General features: G+C 41.2%; 1 annotated feature.

The window, feature by feature from the left end:
• Positions 9678-9877: a silencer, noted in NCBI's record as "silent region_16474". NCBI's record gives its function as "represses an Ori minimal core promoter by ATAC-STARR-seq in GM12878 lymphoblastoid cells {active_cell/tissue: GM12878}" and the evidence as "EXISTENCE:reporter gene assay evidence [ECO:0000049][PMID:35858748]".

Genomic DNA, 12596 nt, shown 5'->3' on the forward strand with positions numbered 1-12596 from the left:
CGAGTCATATGGGTATACAACATAAAATGAGGTGCAGAATTTCAATCCTATCATTTGCTTGGAAGGTGGAGAGTCATATTTGGAGAACATGAGTTCTATAATTGTTGGATGTAACAGTCTATACATGTCCACTAAGTCAAGTTTGCTAATCGTGTTTAAATAATCTATATCCTTACTCATGTATCTGTTCACTTCTTGCAGTTTTGTCAATCTTAGTTTTATATTTTTGAAGCTATATTATGTGTACAAGTTTTATAATCATTGTACTTTCTCATGAGTTAAACTTTTTATCATTATGATAATGCTTTTTGCCTTAAAGTCTACTTTGTCTAATATTAATATAGATAACATTAATTTTTGTTAATATTTATATTTTTCCACTTTTTAATTTCAACATTATAATACAAATGTTTTAGGTATGTTTCTTATAAACAGTATGCAGATTGTTATCCAATTCAATCTTTGATTTTTAATTGAACTATTTAATTTATTTACATTTAATGTAATTACTGATATATTTGAATTTAAATATACCGTCTTCTTAAGTGTTTTCAATTGTCTCACATGCTCTCTGTTCTCTTTATCCTCACTTTTTGCCTGCTTTTGGAAAATATTGTTTTTGCCTCCATTGTTTTGGAAGTTACATATCTTTTTAGTAGTCTTTTAGAGTTTATCCTATAGATCACAGTATGGGTCTCTGAGTTAGCAAAGGCTAATAATGTTAATTGGCACTTTCATTTTCTTCCATAATAGTACAAGGACCTTAGAACGTTTCAATTCATTTACTTCCTCTCCTGATTTGTATGCACTTTTAATATTTTTAATTTTTTAAATCTTCAGCACTGTGTTACATTGTTTCATACGGTATAATTCATTTAGACTTCCTCAAATGGACCTTCGTGCTGGACCTCATTTCTTTCTGCATCTATATAACCTATCATCCTTAATCATCTTCCTTCTGCTTAAAGAACATCCTTTAGTATTTGATGCTGGTAAAGAATCCTGAAAATGTCTTAATTTCACTTTTATTATTGAAGGCTATTTTCACTGGACATAGAATTCTAATGTTGACAGTTATTTTATTTCAGCACTTGAAAGACATTTAAATTCCACTAATTTCTAGTTTCCATTGTTTCTATCAAGAGGTAAGCTAACAGTCTATTACATTTTTTCAAGTAATGACAGCTGCTTGTAATTTTTTTTTCCCTTTGTCTTTGGTTTTCATCTGTCTTATTGTGATGTACCTAGGTGTGGCTTTTAAAAATTTCTCCTGCTTGCAGCTCCCAGGGCTTCTGAGATTTGTGGCTTGTTGTCTTTAATCAATTTTGGGAATTTTTCAACTATTTTCTCTTCAAATATTGATGCTGCACCATTCTCTTTCTCTTCTCCTTCTGAAATTTTAATTCTCATTTTATCTCCATATCTCTTACTCTCTGTAGCATTGCTATCCTTTTGTCTCTCCATGTTTCGTCATGATGTTGTCTTCTAACCTACTTTCCAGTTCATCAATTTTCCCTACAGCTGTGTATAATTTTTTGTTAAACCAAGTAAAGAGTATCCACTGAGCTCTTTGCTTTTGTTAGTATATATTTTAAATTCTAAATTGTTCACTGGTTATTTTTTACAACTTTTTCATCCTTTTTTAAAGTTTTCAGTTCTCTGCCAAATTTGTTGATACTGTCTTTTATCTCCGTATGTGTAGTAAACATAATTAATTTAAAGTCCGTATCTGATAAATCCATTAACTGGAGTTCTGTGGTATTGTTTCTATTGTAGTTGTTTCTACTGGATCTCATGTTTTCTTATTTCTTTATGGGCCTGGTTATTCTCTTGTGTGCTAAAATTGTATATGAAAAATTGTTGGTTGAAGTAAAGTAAAACTTATTGTGTTATATTCCTCCTGAGAGTACAGTCATCCCTCAGTATCCACAGCAGGATTGGTTCCAGGACCTACTGCAGATACCAAAATCCATGCAGATTTCATTTCCACAATCAACCCTGTGGAATCCATGGATATAAAACGTCGACCCTCCATATATAAGTGAGTTTGGCATCCTGCAACTACTGTCTTTTATATTTATGTTTGGTTGCAGATGCAGAATTCACCAAAGCCTAATCCAGAGCAAGGCCCTAACTCTTCAATTCTATGAAGGCTAAGAGAGCTGAGGAAGCTGTAGAAGAAAAACTGCAAGCTAGCAGGGGTTGGTTTATGAAGTTTAAGGAAATAAACCATTCCGTAACATAAAAGTGTAAGATAAAGCAGCAAGTGCTGATGTAGAAGCTGCAGCAAATTATTCAGAAGATCTAGCTGAGATCATGGATGGCGGTGGTTACACTAAACAACAGAGTTCCAGGGTAGACAAACAGCCTTCTATTGGAATAAGATGCCATCTAGGACTTTCATAGCTAGAGAAGAGTGGGCTGACTATATTTATTTTAAAAATCCATGTATAGGCTGGGCGCAGTGGCTCACGCCTGTAATCCCAGCAGCACTTTAGGAGGCTGAGGCAGGTGGGTCACCTGAGGTCAGGAGTTTGAGACCAGCCTGGCCAACATGGTGAAACCCTGTCTCTACTAAAACTAAAAAAATTAGCTGGCATGGTGGCAGGCACCTGTAATCCCAGCTACTCAGGAGGCTGAGGCAGGAGAATTGCTTGAACCTGGGAGGCGGAGGTTGTAGTAAGCCGAGATCGCGCCATTGCACTCCAGCCTGGATGACAAGAGCGAAATTCTGTCCAAAAAAAAAAAAAAAATCCATGTATAAATGAGCCATACAGTTCAAACCCATGTTGTTCAAGGGTCAACTGTATTTATATTTGCTTTTGCAAGATACCTGGGGATGTGAGGACCTGGGATCACCTTTATCCAATTTGAAGAATTAAGCTAATTGGATCTCAGCTGAGGCCCCACAAAATCTCATCTACTTCCATCCAAGTCATCCTGTCTTTTCTCTTTTTTAAATTTTTTTGGAGGTGGGGTCTCACTGTGCTGCCCAGGCTGGACAACATAGGTCCAGTGGCACAAACATAGGTCACTGCAGCCTTGCACTCTTGGGCTGAAGGGATCTTCCCAAGTAGCTGGGGCTACAAGCACATGCCACCATGCTACCATGCTGCGCTAATTTTTTCATTCAGTCTTAAGATGAAGACTTTCAGGGTCCTAGCCTGCTATGGGGAGTTATATGTCTACCCTCTCCTTTGGTGAGCACCGGATTCCAACTTGTGTTTATGTGGCCACACAAAGCTGCCCAGGTGCTGCTTAGTCTCTTCAGTTCTTTTTTTTTTTTTGAGAGGGAGTCTCACTCTGCACTGTGTCGCCCGTGCTGGAGTGCAGTGGCATGATCTCGGCTCACTGCAACGTCTGCCTCATAGGTTCAAGCTCCTCCGCCTCCTGGGAGCCTGGGTGATTCTCCTGCCTCAGCCTCCCGAGTAGCTGAGATTATAGGCACCCGCCACCACACCCAGCTAATTTTTCTTTTGTATTTTAATAGAGATGGGGTTTCACCATGTTGGTCAGGCTGGTCTCAAACCCTAACCTCAAATGATCCACCTGCCTTGGCCTCCCAATGTGCTGGGATTACAGGTGTGAGCCACCACACCCGGCCATCTCTCCAGTTCTTTGTTGTCGTTTCCAGAAGCAGCAAATGTCCCAAGGGGAAAAGAGGCCCAGTTATTGGGCTTGCCTCCTTGAATACCCATCTTTCTCCAGCTCTTCATTGGTGATTCTTCATTATCTTTTTAAGTCTGATGTTTTCAAGCACATTTTATTTTAATTTTTTCCCACTTTTCTAATTGTTCTCAGCAGGACAGTAGGTCTGAATTTAGTCTGCTATTACCAGATGGTAGGAAATAGACAGGTATGCTTCATTTTGTCATAGTTTGCTTTACTACACTGCAGATATTATATTTTTTACAAATTGGAGGTTCGTGGTAACCCTGCATTGAAGAAGCCTTTAGGTGCCATTTTTCCAACAGCATGTGCTCACTTTTTGTTTCTGGGTCATATTTTGATAATTCTCATAATATCTCAGACTTTTTCATTATTATTATATTTGTTATGGTAATCTATGATCAGTGATCTTTGAGATTACTCTTGTAATCATTTTGGGGTGCCATAAACTGTGCTCATATAAGATGGTGAAGTTCATTGATAAATGTTGTGTGTTCTGACTTCTCCACCAATCAGCCATTTCCCATCTTTTACATTCTTTTCAGTCCTCCTTATTCCCTGAGACACAACAATATTGAAATTAGACTAATCAATAACCCTACAATGTCCTCTAAGTGTTCAAGTGAAAGCAAGGGTGGCACATCCCACACTTTAAATCGAAAGCTAAAAATGATTAAGCTCAGTGAGGAATGCATGAGGAAAAGCCAAGAGAGGCCAAAATAGAGGGCTTTTGTGCCAAACAGGTAGCCAAGTTGTGAATGGAAAGGAAAAGTTCTTGAAGGAAATTAAAAGCACTACTCCAGTGAACACACAAATGATAAGAGAGTAAAACAGCCTTATTGCTGATATGGAGAAAGTTTGAGTGGTCTGGATAGAAGATCAAACCAGCAACAACATTCCTTTAAGTTAAAGCCTAATCCAGAGCAAGGCCCTAACTCGCTTCAATTCAATGAAGGCTGAGAGAGGTAAGGAAGCTACAGAAGAAAAATTAGAAGCTAGCAGAGGTTGGTTCATGAAATTTAAGGACATAAACCATTTCCACAACATAAAGTGCAAGGTGAAGCAGCAAGCGCTCATGTAGAAGCTGCAGCAAGTTATCCAGAAAATCTAGCTAAGATTATGGATGGTGGTGGCTACACTAAACAATAGAATTTCAATGTAGACAAAACATCTATCAGAATAAGATGCCATCTAAGACTTTCATAGCTAAAGAGGAGAAAGCAATGCCTGGCTTCAACGCTTCAAGGGACAGGCTGACTGTCTTATTAGGGGCTAATGCAACTGGTGGCTTTAAGCTGAAGCCAATTGCTCATTTTCCATACAGAAAATCTTTGGACCCTTACAAATTATGCTAAACCCAGGCCAGACACAGTGGCTCATGCCTGTAATTCTAGCACTTTGGGAGGTCGAGGCAGGCAGATCACTTGAGCTCAGGAGTTCGAGACTGGCCTGGGCAACAGGGTGAAACCCCATCTCTACAAAAAAATACAAAAACTAGCCAGGTGTGGTGAAGTGTGCCTGCAGTCCCAGCTACTCAGGAGGGTGAGGCAGGAGAATTTCTTGAGCCTGGAGGCTGAGGTTGCCGTGAGTCAAGATCACGCCATTGCACTCCAGCCTGGGTGACAGGAGTGAAACCCTGTCTCAAAACAAAGAATTGTGCTAAATCTATTCTGCCTGTGCTCTATAAATGAAATAACAAAGCCTGAATGACAGCACATCTGTTTATGGCATGTTTACTGAATATTTTAAGCCTACCGTTGAGACTTACTCCTCCAGGGAAAAAAAGGGATTCCTTTCAAAATATTACTTCTTGTTGGCAAATGCATCTAGTAACTCAAAAGCTCTGACAGAGATGTACAAGGAGAGTAATATTTTCATGCTTTTAACACAACATCCATTCTGCAGTCCATGGATCAAGAAGTCATTTCAACTTTCAAGTCCTATTACTTAAGAAATGCATTTTTTAAGGCTATAGTTGTCATAGATAGTGATTTCTCTGATGGATCTGGGCAAAATCAATTGAAAACCCTCTGCAAAGAATTTACCATTTTAGATGCCCTTAAGTACATTCACGATTCATGGGAGGAGGTCAGAATATCAACATTAGCAGGAGTTTGGAAGAAGTTGATTCTAACCCTCACGGATGACTTAGAGGAGTTCAAGACTTCACTAGAGGAAGTCACTGCGGAGGTGCTGGAAACAGAAAACTAGAATTAGAAGTGGAGCCTGAAAATGTGCCTGAATTGCTTCAATCTTGTAACGGTTAATACTGAGTGTTCACTTGATTGGATTGAAGGATGCAAAGTATTGTTCCTGGGTGTGTCTGTGTGAGCTTCCCTAGTTTTGAGGTTTTGGGACTTGGACTGGTTTCCTTGCTCCTCAGGTTGCAGATGGCCTATTGTGGCACTTCGCCTTGTGATCATGTGAGTCAGTACTCCTTAATAAACTCCCGTTCATTTATACATCTATCCTATAAGTTCTGCCTCTCTAGAGAACCCTAATACAAATTTCATGATAAAACTTGAACGAAAGAGGAGCTGCTTCTTATGGATGAGCAAAGAAAGTGATTTCTTGAGATGGACTCTACTCCTAGTAGAGATGCTGTGAACATTGTTGAAATGACAATAAAGGATTTAGAATATTCCGTAAACTTAGTTAATACAGAAGCAGCAGCATTTGAGAGGACTGACTCCACTTTTGAAAGAAGTTCTACTGTTATTAAATGCTACCAAATATGGTACAGAGAAATATTTTGTGAAAGGAAGAGTCCATTGACATGGCAAGCTTCATTACTGTCATATTTTAATAACTTGCCACAGCTACCTCAAACTTCAGCAACCACCAGTCTGATCAGTCAGTAACCATCAATATCGAGGCAAGACCTTCCACCAGGAAAAAGATTATAACTCACTGAAGGCTCAGACGATCATTACTATTTTTTTAGCAGCAAAGTATTTTTAATTGAGGTATGTACATTTTTAGACATAATGCTCTTGCACACTTACTAGACTACAGCATACTGTCAACATAACTTTTATAGGCACTGGGAACCAAAAATTTGTATGATTCACTTTGTTGCAATACTTGCCTTACTGCGGCAGTCTGGAACCAAACCCACAATATCTCCAAGGTCCACCTGCAAATGCAGGCAGTGGGCCAGGTATACATGCATACATATGCCTTATGTGAGGGGTGGGCACTGAGGTTAACTAGAAAGCATGAGCCTATTTTTGCCTTGTGGTAATAAGGGCCTCATATTGCCAAATTTTTCCATTTTTTTCAAAAGAAGTAGGAAAGGAAATGCAGGCTTTTAAAATGTGAAATCCCAATTTTCAATTGTTGGTTCAAAAAAAACTTAAATCTCAACTAGCCAAATAAAATGCATCTGGGGTCCACACCCAGCTACCCTATAGGATACTAATTTAAAATATCTGGACTATAGTCTATATTGATGAGAGAAGTGGGGTGAAACTTGGCATTCCCTTGCCATTAACTTCTAGCCTCCCAGTAGTCCAGGCTGCCTTGAATAAACACCAGACCATCATACAAAACAGAGTTTTTATCTTATTTATTTATTTATGAGTTGGGTGTCTTGCTGCATTACTCAGGATGGAGTGCAGTGGCACAATCATAGTTCACTGAGGCCACGAACTGCTGTGCTCAAGTGATCCTCTCACCTCAGCCTCCTGAGTAGCTGGGACTACAGGTGTATGCCACCACATAAGGCTAATTTTAATTTGTTTTTGAGAGACAGAGTCTTGCTATGTTGCCCAGGCTGGTCTTAAACTCCTGGCCTCAAGCAATCTTTCCACCTTGGCCTCTGAAAGTACTAGGATTATAGAAGTGAGCCGCTATGCTTGACCAAAACACAGTTTTTAAATCAATTTATGTCTTTACTGAAATCTCTTAAAGATGCCAAAGGGTGGGGTTTGGGTTCCATTCATAACACCAACATTTCTGAAGAATCCTCTTCTCTTGTCTCTTTCTCAAGTCCTCCTCATGACATCTGTGTTAGTCCGTTCTCACACTGCTATGAAGGACTGCCTGAGACTGGGTAATTTATAAAAGAAAGAGGTTTTAATTGACTCACAGTTCCACAGGGGTGGGAAGGCCTCAGGCGGAAGGGGAAGCAACCACATCCTTCTTCACATAGCGGCAGGAAGGAGAAGTGCCAAGCAAAGGGGAAAAGCCTTTCATAAACCCATCAGGTCTCATGAGAACTCAAGAAGAGCATGGGGATATGTGGAGGAAAAGTTAAATCTTAAATTTGAACTCAATTGAATGTGGACACAAACAATGGTCACCAAGTCCCAGAACAGGTTGCATGAGCCCCTTGAGGCGTTCATCCAGACGGTTTTGGAGAAATCTGTTCCTGTATGTTAGTTATTGAAAAACAACAAACAATCATAAAAACAAGTTGACCTTTTTGTGTTCCTTGAGTCCAGTCATGAAGGGCCCTCGTGACTGGGCCTCATGCCAAATAAGTCGTTACAAAAAGAACTAGGGTCCCATACCACGCCAAAGCTTCATGAGACCTCTCCTCATCTGTGCATGGATGAGCGGTCAACTCTGGAGCCCAGGCTGTTGCTTCCCTGTCTGGTGATGAATCCTCTATAGTCTGGTAAGTGTAGTGGCCGACTCTGGAGCCCAGGCTGTTGCTTCTGGTCTGGTGATGAATCCTCCATCGTCTGGTGAGTGTGTGTGTATATATATATAGTCTATATTGATGGGAGAAGTGGGGTGAAAGTTGGCATGCCCTTGCCATTAACTTCTAGCCTCCCAGTAGTCCAGGCTATATATATATATCTTCTCCCTTTTCCCCTTCCCATTGCAATTTGCTTGTATCATTTGCTTATTATATCTGCATTGCCATTTACATGGGATAAAGGTTGTTTACCCTTGAAGGTATTGCATGTGTGTCTTTTCTTTTCCCTTTGTGCATCTCCCTCATAGAAAAGAGTAACCGCCCCCATGATTCAATTGCCTACCACTGGGTCCCTCCCACAACACGTGGGGATTATAGGAACTACAATTCAAGATGAGATTTGGGTGGGGACACAGCCAAACCATATCAACAGCCCAGCAGCTACTTCAGTCCTCCTTAATTTATCTCTTGAATTCTCCCAAACCCAGCTCATCCCTGGCTTGTTTCTCTTATTCTTTCTCTCGCCTTCTGATCCATTCTGCTTTCGTTAGTATGTAACTCCCTGCCTTCTCTTAGGTAGACCCATCAACCCATCCTACCCATGGTACTGCACAATTCAGAATCCTTTCCCAAATTTTCCCTTATTATGCACAAGAAATACTCCAGGGCCAGGTGCAATGGCTCACGCCTGTAATCCCAGAACTTTGGAAGGCTGAGGCAGGAGGATCGCTTGAGCCCAAGAGTTCAAGGCTGTAGTTAGTGATGTTGGTGCCACTGCACTCCAGCCTAGGCAACACAACAAGACACTATCTCAATTAAAAGAAAAAAAAAGAAAAAAGAAAAAGAAATACTCCAGAACTTGGCTAGTGAAGACTAATTCCTCCTTCACAGGAAGGAAGTGGGGGCAGGGGAAAATGATGCTGTAAATACTCTAAAATATGTATTTTTTCCTGTCCCATCAGCTATGCCATCTGGGATGGGGTGACGCCTGGATGAGATGTCATTTTAAAGGACATTTCTGGGACATGCTGGCATCAAGGCAAGTTTTCAGGTGGCTGCCATTTCCTTGTCATTTACCTTCTATGGACAGGACAGAGTCTCCACCCAAACCACCACCCTCCCACAAAAGCGGGAAGGAGAAGCCAGAAGGGAGAGAAATCAGACTTTTCCTGATTTGTCTAATAATAGAAAGTTGGCAGAGCACGTCACAGAATAGAAAGTATTTGATAAAAACAGCATCTGTTCAGCTTGGGACTCGAGCCGGAGCTGCATGGAAATTTAATTTATTCCTTCCTCGAGTATTCCCATTAGAGTATCACAATTCTGTCTTTCTCATTAATGAGAGAAGTTGAAAACGTTGCTTCCTGTGACCAAAATGGCTTTCTTTCCCACGGGCTGATGGCAGAGGAGGCGACAGCGCAGCTGAGCGAGCGGCCAGCAGGGGGCGCGGCCCTGCCGTCCTCACACCCACCCCGGACACGGAGACGCGGGGCGAGCGGGGCGCCCCTTACACAGCCTGCGAGGGGAGACCCAGGAGGTTTTCCAAACAAGAGGCTTTGCTGACTCTAGGGGCCTAAGAATAACCACTGTGTAGTATCCTGACTGCCGGCGGCCTCAGTAAAAGTGGTAGACAGAGGCTTCCCTGTCGCTCAAGGAGCTCCCAGGGCTTTCTAGGCTTCCCGTTCTCCTCCTGTTTCCCAGGACCCACCAGAGTGCCCCCTGCAGGTCAGGACGGGAACCGACACCTGGCCTTTGTCAAAACGCATTCCAGCGCCCAGTGAATTACTGTCCTCACGCCTGTCACCTCTCCATCTCCGGCTCCTCGCTGCTCTGGCTCCTTAAAGTCCTGCTCTGGGCAAAGTGGCCTTAACAGGAAATCAAAGCTGAGTCAAACTAATAATAGTTTGGCTATTGATCAGGCAGCCCCTTTAAATCACCCGGTGTTTTGTTTAATTGCAGAAAAATACACATAACATAAAATTTTCCATTTTAAATGTACAGTTAGTTTAGTGGTGTTAAGTGCATTCACATTCTTGTGCAACCATCCCCACCATCCATTTCCGGGGCTCTTTTCATCCTCCCAGGCTTAAACTCCACACTCATTAGACAAAAACTCCCCATTCCTCTTCCCCCAGACCTGGAAGCCACCATTCTGCTTTCTGCCTCTGAATTTGACTACTCTATGTACCTCTTATAAATGGGATCATATTGTATTTGTCCTTCTGTGGCTGGCTTGGTTCACTTAGCATAGTGTCCTCAAGGTTTACCCATGTTGTAGTGTGTGTCAGAATTGCCTTCCTTTTAGGGGTGAATAATATTCCACTGTATGTATATACCACATTTTATTTGTCCATTCATCTGTCAATGGCCACCAGGATTGCTTTCACCTTTTTGGCCATTGTGAATAATGTTGCAATGAGCATGGGTGTCCTTTTCGAGATTGTTTTGACCTGTTGGTATTTTAACAGGACTCTTTAGGAAGGTAATCCCAATGGAATAGTTCAAGGTCCGAAGAAAGCTGATGGGAACTATTTTAGGAAGAAACAGATTTAATGTCCCTTGCACCAAACCATATCACCTACATAGGGGGCTGCCCTAGGATATATGTTCTGATATCATGCATTTTGTATTTCCTCACTGAAAAGGATAAGAAGTTGTGCCCAGTGGAGGGAAAATGTTTCTGACTCAAACAACTTCCAAGCCACTTGGCTCTCGGAATCTTTGATAGCCGTAGATTGTTAGGCAGTGACAGTGGGAAGCCAGAGAGTGATGCAGACACGAGCAGGCTTTGGTGTCAGACCCGGCGAACATTTCTCCTGACATGAGCTTCAAATATCTTCATGAGCGGATTCTTTGGGGGTCCTTGCTGATTCAGCTTCTATCCGCCCCTCTATGCTTTCCTGTGCCTTCAGCTCTTAGTTTTTCCCCCATCAGCATTGCAATATGCTCAAGAAGTTAACAAAACAAATTAACACAGAGAAAGCACAACCCTCCCTTAAGCCCTGCCTCCCTTCAGTTCCCATCCTTCCTGTCTCTCTCCTGCTGTGGCCTGTAGCCTGTCTTCTTGAAGGAATCATTTTCACTTGCCACTTCCATATCCCCACTCCCATTCACTCTTGAACCCGGTGCTCTCCTGGCACTGGATTCTGAGGGTTTCTGATGTGACATCTTGGTTCAAGCTTCTGATGGGAAGTCAGCCCCCTGTTCAAGTCAAAAGCCCTGCATCCTGAGAAGTCCTGGCACCTTGCTTCAGAGACAGTTCCTAGAATACCAGAAGATATATATATATATGTGTATATATATGTGTATATATATACACACACACACATATATATGTATACATATATGTGTATACATATATGTGTATACATATATACACATATATATGTGTGTGTGTGTATATATATATATACACATAAATATATACATATATATATACACACACACACACATATATATACTTCCTCATCAAAAGAAGGCCTAACAAGAACTTTTGTAAATCATCTTTCCTGGCAATGGAGTATAGAGGTTAGGGGACCAACTGTATCATCATCCACAGCTTGATATGACCCCCAGCTCTGCCAGTTGCTAGCTGGGTGACTTTGGGCAAGTTACTTAAGTTCTCTGCACCTTCTTACCCTGCCTCTAACATGACGATCGCCCCAGCACCTACCTCATAGGCCTATTAGGATAAATAAATAATGCATGTCAAGAGCTGAGCACAGGGCATGGCTCACAGGAAGCATTTCATAAGGGTTAACTCGTGACTACTTTTTATTGGCATAATACTTAAAGGTTGACCTTAGTAATTAAGTCTATCTTGATTTTCATACCTGTAAAATTTGAGTGAACAAATGTGGTAAGACTAAAGGGTTTACTGCAAATTTTCTAGAGAATAATTGGTTCCCTAAGTGATCAGAAACATTTGCTAAGGATAACATGAGGAACGACAGGGAGAAACATCACATAGGGCTAATGAAAAGGCAGAATCTCTGAATGGAGATGAATACTCCTAGATATTGTGAGATAAACCAAAAAGCGGGAGAGTGTGATTGAACTTGTGCATCAGTGATTAGCGTTGGATAGGATTAGCATGCATAAACACAGACTTTTTGGAAAACAGCCCCTTGAAAAGCTATCAGAACTAAAATATGATAATAGTCAACACAGTCTGGCCACCAGATGAGGTATTCTGCTGTTTGATAAATTTTATAAAACTGCAGACCTTATTTTAAACTATGTGGAACTATTCCAAGGACTGATTGCAGAGTACATGAATAGG

The sequence above is a fragment of the Homo sapiens genome, chromosome 5 (genome assembly GCF_000001405.40).
Source record: "Homo sapiens chromosome 5, GRCh38.p14 Primary Assembly".
Taxonomy (NCBI): domain Eukaryota; kingdom Metazoa; phylum Chordata; class Mammalia; order Primates; family Hominidae; genus Homo; species Homo sapiens.